General features: G+C 40.6%; 1 protein-coding gene across 1 annotated transcript in view, besides 1 other annotated feature; it reads left to right on the forward strand.

The window, feature by feature from the left end:
- CYP2C19 (cytochrome P450 family 2 subfamily C member 19) overlaps positions 1 to 17,573 on the forward strand; it is a 92,867-nt gene that overhangs the window by 65,121 nt on the left and 10,173 nt on the right. The window contains exon 7 of the mRNA NM_000769.4: positions 15,036 to 15,223. Coding sequence (NP_000760.1) covers positions 15,036 to 15,223 — 188 coding nt within the window. The remainder of the gene's footprint in view (positions 1 to 15,035; positions 15,224 to 17,573) is intronic.
- Positions 2,585 to 3,183: an enhancer, noted in NCBI's record as "H3K27ac-H3K4me1 hESC enhancer chr10:96590143-96590741 (GRCh37/hg19 assembly coordinates)". NCBI's record gives its function as "activates a minimal SCP1, AML or CMV promoter by ChIP-STARR-seq in primed H9 embryonic stem cells {active_cell/tissue: H9 hESC(primed)}" and the evidence as "EXISTENCE:reporter gene assay evidence [ECO:0000049][PMID:30033119]".

The following is a 17,573-nucleotide window of genomic DNA, read 5'->3' on the forward strand; positions in this document are numbered from 1 at the left end:
GTGCCATAAATTTCCCTCTACACACTGTTTTGAATGCATCCCAGAGATTCTGGTATGTTGTGTCTTTGTTCTTGTTGGTTTCAAAGAACATCTTTATTTCTGCCTTCATTTCGTTATGTACCCAGTAGTCATTCAGGAGCAGGTTGTTCAGTTTCCATGTAGTTGAGCGGTTTTGAGTGAGTTTCTTAATCCCGAGTTCTAGTTTGATTGCACTGTGGTCTGAGAGACAGTTTGCCATAATTTCTGTTCTTTTACATTTGCTGAGGAGAGCTTTACTTCCAACTATGTGGTCAATTTTGGAATAGGTGTGGTGTGGTGCTGAAAAAATGTATATTCTGTTGATTTGGGGTGGAGAGTTCTGTAGATGCCTATTAGGTCCGCTTGGTGCAGACCTGAGTTCAATTCCTGGGTATCCTTGTTGACTTTCTGTCTCGTTGATCTGTCTAATGTTGACAGTGGGGTGTTAAAGTCTCCCATTATTAATGTGTGGGAGTCTAAGTCTCTTTGTAGGTCACTCAGGATTTGCTTTATGAATCTTGGTGCTCCTGTATTGGGTGCATATATATTTAGCATAGTTAGCTCTTCTTGTTGAATTGATCCCTTTACCATTATGTAATGGCCTTCTTTGTCTCTTTTGATCTTTGTTGGTTTAAAGTCTGTTTTATCAGAGACTAGGATTGCAACCCCTGCCTTTTTTTGTTTTCCATTGGCTTGGTAGATCTTCCTCCATCCTTTTATTTTGAGCCTATGTGTGTCTCTGCACGTGAGATGGGTTTCCTGAATACAGCACACTGATGGGTCTTGACTCTTTATCCAATTTGCAAGTCTGTGTCTTTTAATTGGAGCATTTAGTCCATTTACATTTAAAGTTAATATTGTTATGTGTGAATTTGATCCTGTCATTATGATGTTAGCTGGTTATTTTGCTCGTTAGTTGATGCAGTTTCTTCCTAGACTCGATGGTCTTTACATTTTGGCATGATTTTGCAGCGGCTGGTACCGGTTGTTCCTTTCCATGATTAGTGCTTCCTTCAGGAGTTCTTGTAAGGCAGGCCTGGTGGTGACAAAATCTCTCAGCATTTGCTTGTCTGTAAAGGATTTTATTTCTCCTTCACTTATGAAGCTTAGTTTGGCTGGATATGAAATTCTGGGTTGAAAATTCTTTTCTTTAAGAATGTTGAATATTGGCCCCCACTCTCTTCTGGCTTGTAGAGTTTCTGCCGAGAGATCTGCTGTTAGTCAGATGGGCTTCCCTTTGAGGGTAACCCGACCTTTCTCTCTGGCTGCCCTTAACATTTTTTCCTTCATTTCAACTTTGGTGAAACTGACAATTATGTGTCTTGGAGTTGCTCTTCTTGAGGAGTATCTTTGTGGCGTTCTCTGTATTTCCTGAATCTGAACGTTGGCCTGCCGTGCTAGATTGGGGAAGTTCTCCTGGATAATATCCTGCAGAGTGTTTTCCAACTTGTTTCCATTCTCCCCATCACTTTCAGGTACACCAATCCGAAGTAGATTTGGTCTTTTCACATAGTCCCATATTTCTTGGAGGCTTTGCTCATTTCTTTTTATTCTTTTTACTCTAAACTTCCCTTCTCGCTACATTTCATCTTCCATTGCTGATACCCTTTCTTCCAGTTGATCGCATTGGCTCCTGAGACTTCTGCATTCTTCACGTAGTTCTCGAGCCTTGGTTTTCAGCTCCATAAGCTCCTTTAAGCACTTCTCTGTATTGGTTATTCTAGTTATACCTTCTTCTAAATTTTTTTCAAAGTTTTCAACTTCTTTGCCTTTGGTTTGAATGTCCTTCCATAGCTCAGAGTAATTTGATCGTCTGAAGCCTTCTTCTCTCAGCTCATCAAAGTCATTCTCCATCCAGCTTTGTTCCGTTGCTGGTGAGGAACTACGTTCCTTTGGAGGAGGAGAGGCGCTCTGCTTTTTAGAGTTTCCAGTTTTTCTGTTCTGTTTTTTCCCCATCTTTGTGGTTTTATCTACTTTTGGTCTTTGATGATGGTGATGTGCAGATGGGTTTTTGGTGTGGATGTCCTTTCTGTTTGTTAGTTTTCCTTCTAACAGACAGGACCCTCAGCTGCAGGTCTGTTGGAATAACCTGCCGTGTGAGGTGTCAGTGTGCCCCTGCTGGGGATTGCCTCCCAGTTAGGCTGCTCAGGGGTCAGGGGTCAGGGACCCACTTGAGGAGGCAGTCTGCGCATTCTCAGATCTCCAGCTGCATGCTGGGAGAACCACTGCTCTCTTCAAAGCTGTCAGACAGGGACATTTAAGTCTGCAGAGGTTACTGCTGTCTTTTTGTTTGTCTGTGCCCTGCCCCCAGAGGTGGAGCCTACAGAGGCAGGCAGGCCTCCTTGAGCTGTGGTGGGCTCCACCCAGTTCCAGCTTCCTGGCTGCTTTGTTTACGTAATCAAGCATGGGCAATGGCGGGCGCCCCTCCCCCAGCCTTGCTGCCACCTTGCAGTTTGATCTCAGACTGCTGTGCTAGCAATTAGTGAGACTCCGTGGGCGTAGGACCCTCCGAGCCAGGTGCGGGATATAATCTCGTGGTGCACCGTTTTTTAAGCCCATCGGAAAAGCGCAGTATTCGGGTGGGAGTGACCCGATTTTCCAGGTGCCGTCTGTCACCCCTTTCTTTGACTCAGAAAGGGAACTCCCTGACCCCTTGCACTTCCCAAGTGAGGCAATGCCTCGCCCTGCTTCGGCTCCCGCAGGGTGCACGCACCCACTGACCTGCGCCCACTGTCTGGCACTCCCTAGTGAGATGAACCGGGTACCTCAGATGGAAATGCAGAAATCACCCATCTTCTGCGTCACTCATGCTGGGAGCTGTAGACCAGAGCTGTTCCTATTCAGCCATCTTTGCTCCTCCCCACATTTCATTATTTTTATTTATATTACTTATATATACTAACGTATATGTACATACAGATTTATCTTTTTTCCTTTTTTATTTTTTATATTTATGGGTACAGAGTAGGTATATATTAATATGTTTGTGGGGTACAGGAGATGTTTTGATACAGGCATGCAATGTGAAATAAGCATGTCATGGAGAATGGGGTATCTGTGCCCTCAAGCATTTATTGAGTTACAAACAATTCAATTACACTCTTTCAGTTATTTTAAAATATACAATTAAGTTATTATTGACCATAGTCACACTGTTGTGCTATCAAATAGTAGGTCTTATTCATCCCTACTTCCCTTCTCACCCCCCACTTCCCTTTCAAGTATCTGGTAGCCATCCTTCTACACTTTATGTCCATTAGTTAAATTCTTTTTATTTTAGATCCCACAAATAAGTGAGAACATGCTATGTTTGTTTTTCTGTACCTGGCTTATTTCACTTAACATAATGCTCTCCAATTTCATTCATGTTGTTGCAAATGACTGAATCTCATTCTTTTTTTATGGCTGAATAGAACTCCATTGTGTATATGTACTACATTTTCTTTATACATTTGTCTGTTGATGGATATTTAGGTTGTTTCAAAGTCTTAGCCATTGTAAACAGTGCTGCAACAAACACAAGAGTGCAGATGTCTCTTTGATATAGTTATTTCCTTTCTTTTGGGTATATACCCAGTAGTAGGGTTGTTGGTAGTTTTATTTTTAGTTTTTTAAAAAACTTACAATATATATTTTTAGTTTTTTGAGGAACATTCAAACAGCTCTCCATAGTGGTCATACTAATTTACATTCCCACCAACGTTGTACAAGGGTCCACTTATCTCCACATCCTCACTAGCATTTGTTATTGCCTGTCTTTTGGATATAAGCCATTTTAACTGGAGTGAGGTGACATCTCATTGTAGTTTTGATTTACATTTCTCTGATGATCAGTGGTGTTGACCACCTTTTTGTATGTCTGTTAACAATTAACATGTCTTCTTTTGAGAAATGTCTATTCAAATCTTTTGCCCACTTGTGGACTTGATTATTAGATTTTTTTCTATAGAGTTACTTAAGTTCCTTATATATTCTGGTTATTAATCTCTTGTCAGATGAGTAGTTTGCATATATTTTTCTCCATTCTGTAGGTTATCTCTTCCCTTTGTTGATTGTATCTTTTGCTGTGCAGAAACTTTTTAACTTGATATGATCCCATTTGTCCATGTTTGCTTTGAATGCCTGTGCTTGTGGGGTATTGCTCAAGAAATTTTTGCCTAGACCAATGTCCTGGAGATGTTTTCTAGTATTTTCCTATAGTATTTTCACAGTTTGAGGTCTCATACTTAAGTTTTTAATCCATTTTGAGTTGATTTTTGTATGTGGCAAGATATATGAGTCCAGATTCATCCCTCTGTGTAGGATATTAAATTTTCCCAGCACAATCTATTGATGAGATGGTCTTTCCCCCAGTGTACGTTCTTGGTACCTGTGTTAGTCTGTTCTTATGCTTCTAATAAAGCCATACACAAGACCGGGTAATTTATAAAGGGAAGATGTTTAATGGACTCACAGTTCCACATGGCTGGGGATGCCTCAAAATCATGGTGGAAGGCAAATGAGGAGAAAAGTCACATCTTACATGGTGGCAGACAGAGATCTTTGCAGGGGAAGTCCCATTTATAAAACCATCAGATCTTGTAAGACTTATTCACTACCATGACAACAGTATGGGGGAAACCACCCCATGTTTCAATTATCCCCACATGGCCTTGTACTTGGGGTGTGGGGATTATTACAATTCAAGATGAGATTTGGGGTGGGGACACAGCCAAACCATGTCAGCACCTTTGTCAAGAATGAGTTCACTCTAGGTGTGTGAAATTGTTTCTGGATTCACTATTCTGTTCCATTGGTCTATGTGTCTGTTTTTATGTCAGTACCATGCTGTTTTTGTTAGTATAGCTGTGTAGTATAATTTTAAGTGAGATAATGTGATTCCTCCAGTTTTGTTTTTTTTGCTTATGATAGTTTTGACTATTCTGGGTCTTTTGTGGGTCCATGTCAATTTTAAAGATTTTTTTTCTATTTCTGTGAAGAATGTCATTTGTAATTTGATGGGGATTTTATTGAATCTGTGGATTGTTTTGATAGTATGGACATTTTAATAATATTGATTTTTCCAATCCATGAACATGAAATATTTTTCCATTTGTTGTGATCTCTTAAAACTCTTTCCTCAGTGCTTTATAGTTTTCATTACAGAGATCTTTCAGTTCTTTGGTTAAATTAATTCCTAGGTATTTTATTTTATATATGGCTATTTTAAATGGGATTACATTTTAAATTTCTTTTTCTCATTGTTCACTGTTGGCATATATCAACACTACTGATTTTTATGTTGAGTTTGTATCCTTCAACTTTACAGAATTTGTTCATCAGTTCTAATAATTATCTTGTGGAATCTTTAGGTTTTTCCTAGTATAAGGTTATATCATCTGCACACAAGGATATTTTGACTTATTCCTTTCTAATGTGGATAGCCTTTATATCTTTCTCTTGCCTGATTGCTCTTGCTAGGTCATCTAGTAGTATGAAGAATAACAATGGCAATAGTGGACATCCTTGTCATGTTCATGATCTTACAGAAAATGCTTTCAGTTTTCCCCACTCAGTATGGTACTAGTAGTAGGTCTGTCATATAGCTTTTTTTATGTTGAGGTATGTTCCTTCTATCTCAAGTGTTTTTTTTTCTTTTTTTTTATTATACTTTAAGATTTAGGGTACATGTGCACATTGTGCAGGTTAGTTACATATGTATACATGTGCCATGCTGGTGCGCTGCACCCAAATGTCCAACGATGATAGACTGGATTAAGAAAATGTGGCACATATACACCATGGAATACTATGCAGCCATAAAAAATGATGAGTTCATGTCCTTTGTAGGAACATGGATGAAATTGGAAATCATCATTCTCAAGTGTTTTTAATGAATTTTTATCATGAAGGGATGTTGAATTTTATCAAATACTTTTTCAGCATCAACTGAAATGATCATATGGTTTTTATCCTTCATTCTGTTGATATGATGTATCACACTGCTTGATTTCCACATGTTGAACCATCCTTGCATCCCAGAGGTAAATCCCACTTGGTCATTGTGAATGATCTGTCTATTGTATTGTTGAATGTGGTTTCCTAGTATTTTGTTGAGGATTGTTGCATCAGTATTCATCAGGTGTATTGGCCTGTAGTTTTCTTTTTTTGATGTGTCTTAGTCTGATTTTGGTATCAGGGTAATACTGGCTTCATAGAATGAGTTTGGAAGTATTCTCTTCTCCTTTATTTTTTGGAATAGTTTGAGTAGGGTTGGTATTAGTTCTTTGTTAAATGTTTGGTAAAATTCAGCAGTGAAGCCATCAAGTCTTGGGGTTTTCCTTATTGGGATAATTTTTATTACAGGTTTGATCTTGGTACTGGTCATTGCATGTTCAGGTTTTGGATTTCTTCCTGGTTCAATCTCAATAGGTCATATATGTCTAAGGATTTGTCCATTTCTTCTAGATTTTCCAATTTATTGGCATATAGTTGCTCATAGTAACCACTAATTATTCTTTGAATTTCTGCAGTATCAGTTGTATTGCTTCCTTTTTTATTTTTGTTTTTATTTATTTGAAACTTCTTTTTTTTCTTAGTCTGGCTAAAAACTTGTCAATTTTGTTTAATTTCTCAAAGAAACAACTTTTTGTTGCATTGACATTTTGTTTTGTTTTCTTCATTTAAATTTCATTTATTTCTGCTCTGATCTTTATTATTTCTTTTGTTCTACTAATTTTGGTTTTCTTTCTTTTTTCTTTTTTTTTTTTGTGCAGTTGCAAGATTTAATAGGCTGAAACAGAGCTCCCATACAAAGGGAGGGGACCCAAAGGGGGTTGCCATTGCTGGCTCAAATGCCTGGGTTTATATCCCAATCATTGTCCCTCCCACTGTGCTTTCAGGCAGCAGATGATTGGCTATTTCTTTACCTCCTGTTTTGCCTAATTAGCATTTTAGTGAGCTCTCCTTACTATCTGATTGGTCATGTGTGAGCTAAGTTGCAAGCCCCGTGTTTAAAGGTGGAAGTGGTCACCTTCCCAGGTAGGCTTAGGGATTCTTAGTCAGCTAGGAAATCCAGCTAGTCCTGTCTCTAAGTCCCCCATCTCAACATGAAAACCCAAGTGCTGTTGGGGAGGTTGGCCGACGACTGCTCTAGCTGCTTCCTGCTGAATTGGGGTGTAGTAGGGGTGGTGCAGTTGAGATTTCCTCGGGAGAGGTGCCTTCAATGTCATTAACATTGGAGCATGAGCTAGCAGGCTGGTCCAAGGGTCTGCAGTAGATCTTAGCCATGGACTGCATCTGGGGCTCCATTTGAAGAATGATTTGTAGTTTTACAGCTTCAATTCTGGAAGAGACACACTTAACAAGGAGGTTAAAGATACAGGGATTGAAATGTATGGCCTGCAGTGCCTTTGACACACTTCACAGGCCCTGACTATCTGCTTGATAGTTTTGAAAAGGCCTGGTCCAGTAAATAATAATTTGGCCATCTGATGGGTGCTATCAATACCTAAGTGAAAGGTTTGGTGAAGGGTTTTAAGTAATTCCCATTGGTTAGCTGCAGGCAAATGTAATTTTCCTTTTTTGGTGGCTAGCCATCCCGAGGGGAGAAAACTATGTCTTCATGAGGTTACCCATTCTATTTCTCCTGCTGAGTATTGGGGCTTGGTTTCCCGGAGGGGATTACCCCATACTAGGGGTCCTTCTATAAGCATTTCTAATGGAGGGTTCTGCCTTGCAGCTCTTTTGGCCTCAATATCTGCTTGGCGGTTCCCTTCTATTTTCCTTTCCTTTCCTTTCTGATGACCCCAGCAGTGTAAGACTGCCACCTCTTTAGGTTTCTGTACAGCCAATAATAATCTCCTAACGGCTTCCTGAGGTTTGATAGATGTTCCCTCGGAAGTTAGGAATTTCCTTTCCCTCCATATTGCTTCATGGACATGGAAGACTAGGTAAGCATACTTAGATCTGTATATATATATTTACCCTTTTTCCTTTTCCTAATTCTAGTGCCCGAGTGAGGGCTATTAGTTCTGCCAGCTGAGCACTAGTTCCTGGTGTGAGGAGATTACTTTCAAGTATTCCATTATCACTGACCACTGTGTACCTCGCTTTTTGAAGTCCTTTTTCTACAACGGAACTTCCATCAGTGTACAAGTTGAAGTCAGGATCAGTCAAGGGAACCTCTAAAAGTTCCCCTCGAGTGGTGTAGGTTTGAGCAATTACTTGTTGACAGTTATGTTCTATCTTTTCTTTATTATTTGGAAGAAATGTGGCTCAGTTAAGAGTTGCACAAGCACGCAGTTGCAGCACTGGCTCTTCAAGTAATAGAGCCTGATATTTAAGTAAGTGGTTGTCTGACAGCCACAAGTCTCCTTTAGCAGTGAGTATGCCATTCACATCATGGATGCCCACACAGTAAGATCTCTTCCTTGTATTCTTTTAACTTCTTCAGATACTAAGCCTGCTACTGCTGCCACTACCTGTAAACCATGAGGCCAACCCTTTGCCACTACATCAGTTTCCTTACTCAGGTATGCCACGGGTTGCAAGCTCATCCCTTGGACCTGTGTAAGGACTCCTAGAGCTATTCCTGTTTTTTTTCTGTGTTATATAAAGAAAAGTCTTGCCCTGTTGGCAAGCTTAACACTGAGTCTTGGGTTAGAGACTTCTTTAGGGCCTGGAAAGCCACTTCTGTTTCAGGTGTCCATCTTACTAAATGGATATTGACTTTCTGAGTTTCCTTAATTAGTGTATATAATGGTCTGTCTATTTCACCATACCTGGGAATCCACATTCAGCAGAAACCTGTTATGCCAAGGAACCCTCTTAGTTGCTTTATGGTTTTGGGATGAGGATAAGCCAGAATAAGCTGGATACGTTCCTCACTGAGGGCCCTGGTGCCTTTGGATAATTTTAGCCCTAAGCATTTAACCTGCTGTGAGCAGAGCTGAGCCTTTGGTTTGGAAATCTTGTAGCCACAGGTAGTGAGGAAATTTAAGAGCGCTTGGGTGGCTTGATGGCACAAGGTTTCTGAACAGGCAGCTAAAAGTAAATCATCCACGTACTGAAGGACAAGAGTGTCCAGGTATGAGAATTGACTCAAGTCTTGGGCTAATGCCTGGCCAAATAGATGGGGGCTATCCTTGAACCCTTGGGGTAAAACAGTCCAGGTGAGTTGAGATGTTGGGTTTCAAAGATCTTCAAAGGCAAACAAGAATTGAGAGTCAGGATGTACAGGGATGCAGAAAAAGTCATCCTTAAGGTCCAGGACTGTAAACCACTCTGCTTCCTCTGGTATTTGGGAAAGCAGAGTATAAGGGCTGGGTACAGCTGGGTATAGAGGGACAACAGCCTCACTGATAATCCTAGATATTTCACTAACCTCCACTGTCCATTGGGTTTCTGTACTCCTAAAATTGGAGTATTGCAGGGGCTATTGCATGGTTTTACTAGGCCTTGGGCTTTTAGGTCCTTAACAATCTTTTGGAGTCCTTGTTGGGCCTTGGGTCTGAGGGGGTGCTGCCTTTGGTAGGGAAAGGAGGTGGAGTCCTTTAGTTTAACTTGAACAGGACAGGCATTCTTTGCTCATCCATATTGTCCTTCTGTTGCCTAGACTTTAGGATTAATTCCTTCCTCAAGCAGGGGACAACCAATGGGTGTTCCTTCTCCTATGTTCAGGTGTATAATGGCCCCTGGTTTTGCTAGAATGTCTCTCCCTAACAGGGGAGTGGGGCTTTCAGGCATAATTAGAAAAGCATGTGAAAAGAGTAAAGTTCCTCAGTCACAGCTTAGTGACTGGGAGAAGTATCTAGTGACTGGCTGTCCTAGGACCCCTTGGATAGTGACAGATCTGGAGGACAGTTGTCCGAGACAGGAGAGTAAGACTGAGAAGGTTGCACCAGTGTCCAGGAGACAGTTAACCTCCTGGCCCTCAATGGTCAAGCATACCCGGGGTTCTGTGAGGGTGATGGCATGGGCTGGGGCTTGCCCCAGGCACCCTCAGTCCTGCTGCTGGATCATCTGGTTAGTGGCTTCTGACTCAGAGGACCTTCATCCCCTGGGGCAGTGGCCCTTCCAGTGGATTCCCTTGACATAAGGGGCATGGACGAGGGGGCAGCTTACTTCTACTTGGACAATCTTTTTTAAAGTGTCCTTGTAGACTGCACTGGAAGCAAGCCCTATTAGACATATAATTTTCCCAACTTTTCCCTTTTCCAGAGCCTCCAATGTCCACTTGCCTGGTATGCTTCCTCAATGCCTCCCTTAGTCTCTCCAGAAAGGCAGTAGGATTTTCTTCCTTTCCCTGTGTTATAGTGGACATCATTGAATAATTCATAGTCTTCCTAGTTTTCCTTAGTCCTTCTAGCACGTAAGTTAGCAAATGTCTGTGGCACCAATCTCCATGTTCTGATTCTGTGTCCCAGTGAGGGTCTACACTGGGAACTGCCTGCTGGCCTGTGGGGAATCATTCTCTTTCCTCTGATGTCATCCTATCATTGACCTGACTGAGATACCAGAGATTGCCAAACTCTTGGGCTGCAGATATGGTGGCAATTCTCTCATTTGGGGTTAGTGTCTGATTTAGCAGTAACATTGCATCTCTCCATGTCAGATCAAAGGATTGCCCTAACCCTTATAAAACATCAATATAGCCATCAGGGTTATCTGATCTAAAATACCTAGGTCTATTTTAATTTGCTTTAAGTCTGAGAGAGAAAAAGGTACATGCACTCTGGCTGGGCCGAATTCTCCTCCTCCCTCTGCTTGGAGGGGGCATAATCAGGGAATATTGGCACTCTTTGGTTCATTATTTACCCCTTTATCTATCTCTTTTTGGACGGTTTGTGTTGAAGGGGGATCCTTGTTAGCTGGGGAAGGAGTCAGGGGGACACTGGGATAGGGAGGTAGACTGAGGGCTTCCTGTAGGGCATAAATCACACTTTTTACATAATTGCGAGTTGTCTCTTAATGAAAAGAAAGTTGTACATATGGCACTTCACTCCATTTGCCTTTTTCCTACAAAAGAGGTCTAGCTGTAAGATGGTGTTATAATTTATACTTCCCTCAGGAGGCCAGGTTTCTCCCCCTTGAAGAGGATATCATGGCCAGGCGGTACTGCAGAAAAATATAAGTCATTTCTTTCTTTGACCCTTTCTTAGAGGGTCAAATTGGTCCTAATTCTCCAGAATACATCTTAGGGGTGTTTTTGCCTTGGGGGAAATGTTTCCCATCTGAAAAAAGAACATAGGGAAGCCAACACCCCTAGTCATTTTCTGATGAGCATAAGTCCTAGAGCATCCTCTATGGTCCTAATGCTTATTCCTTTCCAGGGTGCATAACCACCCATGGACCTCTGCTTATCGGATTACTTACACTCACCGATGTAGCAGTCCTGCATCTGTTTTTCCATCTCTCTTGACCACAAAGAAAGGGGCCCTGGCTGCTGGATTCTAGTGGTCCTTTACCAGCTTGCCCAACATTGCCTTTGCACTCAGAGGTGAGTTCCTTTCCAGGCTGTATAACCACCCATGGACCTCTGCTAATCGGATTACTTATGCTTACCGATGTAGCAGTCCTGCAACTGTTTTTCCTGCCTTTCTTGACCACAAAGAAAGGGGTCCGGGCTGCTGGGTTCTAGTGGTCCTTTACCAGCATGCCTAACATTGCCTTTGTACTCAGGGGTGAGTCCTAGAGCTGGGCTGGGTTCCTGAGTATTTCATAACAACCCAGCTGCCCCATCAACATGCATTCGCATAAACAACAGTTCTTATGCAAATTTGTTTCAGAGAGGGTGTATTGAATCTTTTGAGTCAGGATTGAGATAGTCTTTTGATTCTGTAAGTACTTTAAGTCTTGGCTGAGTGCAAAGAGTTCGCACTTTTGAGGAGACCAATTATTAGGCAATTTTTCTAAATCTGCTTCCACAAGAGTCTCTGTATCAATTACTGAATGTCCATTGAGGTTTTTTCCTCAGTCACCTGGGAGGAACCATCTATCATCCTGTCCTGAAGGGAGTTCCTCCTATGTCTGGTCGGACTGTTGTATGGTAATTAAGATTTAAATCCCTGTTAGGGAATCTGCTGGGTTAAGGGAATTATCAGAGGTTGGAGTTACGTTACCTTTTTCTAACCTTATAGCCCCATACGTTAAGATTTTTGAGTTAGTGAGCTACCTTTTTGCTTTTTTTTATTTTTTTTTGACTAAGAATAACTCTGAACTGGTGAGGTGTGCTCACAATGAGGTTTCCTCTAAAAGTTACTTTTCTACTTTTAGTTAAGTAGTTGTTTCTACCGACTGAATGCATTTGGCCCATCCGCGGGTTACTGGGTTAAGGATTTAATACGCCTTTATTTACACTGACAACAAAGTGGCAATTACCAATTACAGGTTTTAAATTTACCCTGGCTTTTAAAGGAATGGGGCACACTTTTTTTTTTTTTAACTATTTCTATCTTTTTCTTTCTTTTTCTCTTTGACTCCCTCTTTGTCTCTCTCTCTGTCTCTCTCTCTCTTAGCCATTACAAACTTGGGGCCCTGGCAAGTGTGGTGGGGAATGGGTCCCACGTAACTGCCCATGTCGAGAGCTGTATACCTAAATCAGGAGGGATACCAGGGATAAGACTCCCTGGGTTATAGCCTAGGTGCCTAAGGATGCAGCGTAGAGACTCCTTAGATCCCTTTAGAGATACAACTTGCTAGAGGAAATGAAAGTCTGAAACATTAGTACCTAGGAGGCAGGGATCAGAGGAAGTAGATTCAGAGGTAAGGAGAATTTTGGGGCTACACTTTAAAGAAAGTCGTGGTCAGGACCCAGGAGGTATGGGTCAGAAGGAAAGGTAGGGGCGCACGCATGTGTGACAGGTGAGTAGAGACTTCTGGCTGCGCCATGATCTCAACCGGCTACTGCCAGGAGTTCGGGACAACAGCTTTCTGCCTCTAGTCAGCCCTCAGCTTCCCCAAGAAAATTGGAAGTGGAAGCTGGCTCCAGGCAGACCAACATTCCCAATAGAAGGGTTGGTTGTTAGAAAGCCCTTCCCCAGATAACCTTACACCTGAGTCTTCAGTCTGGTGGCCACGCTAATCATTTTTAACTGGCCGACAGGTGCCTGGTATTTTCCTCCAGTTCTAAGGAAGGATAGGACAGAACAGCTAGTGAAAGTGGTCCAATATTACCGCTTTGGATGTCCCTTTGTTGTCACCAAAATGTTACCAAGGGGGTCCTTGCTCACAGAGCTCCCAAGATGGTGGTGATCCACTTCCAAGATGGTGGTGGGCCACTTCCAAGATGGTGGCAAGCTTCGTGTTCTCTGACCTGGGGTTCTTGGCCTCACGAATTCCAAGGAATGGAATCTTGGGCCATGCAGTGAGTGTTATAGCTCTACTAAAAGCTGTGGGTCATGGAAGAGAACCGTGGAACCCGGCAACTAGTGTTCAGGTTGATTAGGACAAACCCAGGCACTTAGCCATGCAGGAACAATGGCAAGATTTTAGCCCTATCGGGAATGGCAATGGGACCCTCACTGGATCAGGAGCACAGCAGACACCCTGCCAGATCTGGAGGGATGGAAGTCTGCAGCGGGTTTGCGATGGTGGCAAACAGCAGTGGTGGACGGCGAGTGAAAGCTCAGCTCCAGCCATAACAGACACAGACCAGAAGAGTGCAGTTGCAAGATTTAATAGAGTGAAAACAGAGCTCCCATACAAAGGGAGGGGACCCAAAGGGGGTTGCCCTTTGGTTTTCATTTGCTCTTGCTTATCTAATTCTTTAGGATTCATCATTAGATTGTTTATTTGAAAATTTTCTCCATTTTTGATGTAAGCTCTTAGAGCTATAAACTTTCCTCTTAGTACTGGTTTTGCAGTAGCCCCTAGGTTTTGGTATGTTATGTTTCCATTATCATTTGTTTCAAGAAATTTCTGAATTTCCTTTTTAATCTCTTCATGGACCCACTGGCCATTCATGAGCATATTGTTTAATTTCCATTTACTTGTGTAGTTTCCAAAATTCCTTGTGTTACTGATGGCTAGTTTTATTACTTGGTGGTCAGAGAAGATGCTTGATATTATTTCAGTTTCTTTGAGTGTTTTAAGACTTGTTCTGTGACCTAATATCTGGTCAATTCTTGATAACAATCCATGTGCTGTGGAAAAGAATGTGTATCTGTAGCAGTTGGATGAAATATTCTGCAAATATCTATTAGACCCATTTGGTCTATAGTGCAGATGAAGTTCAATATCTCCTTGTTGATTTTCTATCTGGATGACCTGTCCAATGCTGAAGTGGGTTGTTGAAGTCTCCAGCTATTATTGTATTGGGGCCTATCTCTCTCTAGTTCTAATTATGTTTCTTTTACATATCTGGGTGCTCCATTTTTGGTTGCATATATACTTAAAATTGTTCCATCCTCTTGCCAAGCTGACTGCTTTATCATCAATTGTCATATTCTTTGTCTCTTCTTACAGTTTTCGTCTTGAAATCTATTTTGTCTGCTTTAAATATAATAACTCTTCCTCTTTTTTTTATTTCCTTTGGAATGTACTGTCTCATTCCATTCCTTTACTTTCAGTCTATGTGTGTTTTTTTAAGTGAAGTTTTTTTTTTTTTTTTTTTTAGGCAACAGATTAATAGGTCTTGTTTCTTCATCTAGTCAGTTTGTCTTTTGATTGGAAATTTTAGTCCATTTACATTCAGTGTTATTATTAAGTAAGGACTTACTTCTGCCTTTTTGTTATTTGTTTACTGGTTGTTTTGTGGGCTTCTCTTCCTTCTTTCATTTCTTCCTGCCTTCCTTTATTGATAATAATTTTCTCTGCATATATGTGTACAGATTTTTCTTAATGCCTAGCTTAAGGCACAGTTACACATTTGTGCATCTGTAGCAGTCCTCTCTTTAAGTTACACATACTTCCAGCACTATAATTTAAATTTATTATGATGTTTGGATACCTTCATCATGATTCATGTACCCCTGAATTGCTAGAACAAATGTTCCATTTCTCTCCTTTTCCATCAGTTCTTACTTGTGTCTTGTCAGCTAAAGTCCAGGAAGAGATTGAACGTGTCATTGGCAGAAACCGGAGCCCCTGCATGCAGGACAGGGGCCACATGCCCTACACAGATGCTGTGGTGCACGAGGTCCAGAGATACATCGACCTCATCCCCACCAGCCTGCCCCATGCAGTGACCTGTGACGTTAAATTCAGAAACTACCTCATTCCCAAGGTAAGTTTGTTTCTCCTACACTGCAACTCCATGTTCTTTTATTCCTCAAATTCACAGTATGATTCTTACCCTCTACCATCACTGGGTGAGAGAAGTGCATTACTCCTATGTATGGCAGTTTAATTGGACTTTCTGTTGATTCCAGTTTGGGACTATAAAGATTTGTAACAGGTCTTAGTGTCTCACAGTGTGTGTTTTTCAGATTTATTCTTTCTTCAAGATTGTTCTGGCTACTCTTAAGTGGTTATATTTCCAGACAAATTTTGAAGGTGTTAATTTTTCAATTTCCCAAAACATTGGGCTAGAATTTCTGTCAGGGTGACATTAAATTTATAGGTCAGTTTGGAAAGAACTGACATCTTGACACCTTGAGTCTTTCTGTTTGTGAATATAATTATGCTTCCAATTTATTTGCACTTTCTTTATTTTCCCAGGAATGTTGTGATTTTGTTGTCATGGCTTGCAAGTCTTTGGTTTTTCCTAGATAATTAATATTTTTGTTGTTGTTATAAACTTACAAAATGCCTTTTGATTTCTTTGTACTTGGTATGTTGAAACATAATTAGTTTTTATCATTCTGATGACCTTAATCTATCAACTTTGCTAAATTTACTAATCACTATTCATAATTTATCTCTAGATTCATTGGAATTTCTGTGAACAGTACACTGTATCTGTGTTAATATTGTTTTATTTCTTACTTTCCAATTCTTGTGGGCTTAATTTCTCTTTATTGCATTCATTATTGCATTGGCTAGAATTTCTAGGAGAGTGTTGAATAGAATTGCTGATAGTGGGCATCCTTGTTTCTCATTTCTAATCTGCAGGAAGCAGTGGAAGTTTTACATTTCAATATTGAAAATGATGCTAGAAGTAGATTTTGGTAGAAATTCTTTATCAGATTAGGGAAGTTTGCCCTCACATATATATAGAAATAAATATAAATAGAAATAAGTATGCACATAGAGATGAATTTATATTCTTCATATTGTTTAGGGCTTCTGTGTTTACATTCACAAGGATTTAGTTTGTAATTTTCTTTCTCAGAATTTTCAAGATTTTTGATATCAAGATTAGGCCAGCCTTATAAAACTAAGTGAGAAATGTTTCCTAATGTGAGTCTGTTTTTACTGCCTCCCCGTCTCCACTTTTCTTCTTGTGATCACTTAGTTGTATCTTTGAAATGCCTAATAACTTTTGGTTAAATACCAGATGTTATGTGTAAGAAAGTGCAGAATTTCAGAGGATGTTTATATTCTTCAAAGAAAGATTCATTCCTCTCCCATCGGCAGTCATAATGACATAACACATGTTGTCATGATTCAGAATTGTACATAATGTGAACCCAGTCGAAAATTGACTGTCAGTGTTAGCTTAGCTCTCTGAGGTTCTCCTACCTCTGGAATCTTGAGACCAATTTTTGTCTTGGCAGCTTTACAATTGCCTTCTATCACATGGTTTCTGTATTCATCCAGACACTCTAGTTGCCATCTCAAACCTGCTCTTTTCCAATTTAAACCAAGACATATTATTAGTAAAATTAAAAATAATATAACCTAAAGTTATATTTTCAAGGGGAAAAATCAATGAGATTGGTAAGGTTGAAATTACTAATGTCACTTTTTGAAGAAGACAGAATTGTTAATTTACCAAGAGATTATGGGGCTTACCCTGAGGTCACTGATTTAGTACAAGAGTTAAGACTTCAATGCACTCTGTTTTCACAAACACAGGAGATAACCAGGAGAAGGCTTTCGCTTCTCAAAATTAGGGTCTGAGGGTAATAGTAATGAAACTTATTTCTTCTCCTATAACTAATTAATGAGAAATATACTGAAGAATCAGGATGAGTCGCCAGTCTCCCAATCCACTGCATCAGCTTTGGTGACCTGTTGAAGGGGAATGCTGCATCTGATGAGCTTCTTCATTCACCCACCTGCAGGGCAGCTCATGCTATGCCTGGTGTCTTTTGAGCCCTGAGAACCCAGAGCGCAAGGAAATCACCCACTGAATCCCTTCTTCATGGAACAGCCTATAGAAAAGTGCAGCACTGCGTGGCCAATTCTACCCTCTTTACAAATCAGGCAAATGTGTTCTTCTGCTACAGGCTGGATCCACTTATCTAGGTGGAGATAATAGTCTGAGAGAGGAGTTGGCAAACTGTTCCTGTAATGGGCCAGATAGTAAATATTTTAGACTTTTTAGGCCATGATGTTTCTGTTGCAATCCTTGACATCTGCTATTGTAGCATGAAAGCAGTCATAGACAATGTACAAATGAATATCTTCCAATTTTTATAGAAACAAATGTAAATTTCCCATAAATTTTTGTTTCAAAAATATTATTTATT

Source organism: Homo sapiens, chromosome 10 (assembly GCF_000001405.40).
Source record: "Homo sapiens chromosome 10, GRCh38.p14 Primary Assembly".
In the NCBI taxonomy this organism is placed as follows: domain Eukaryota; kingdom Metazoa; phylum Chordata; class Mammalia; order Primates; family Hominidae; genus Homo; species Homo sapiens.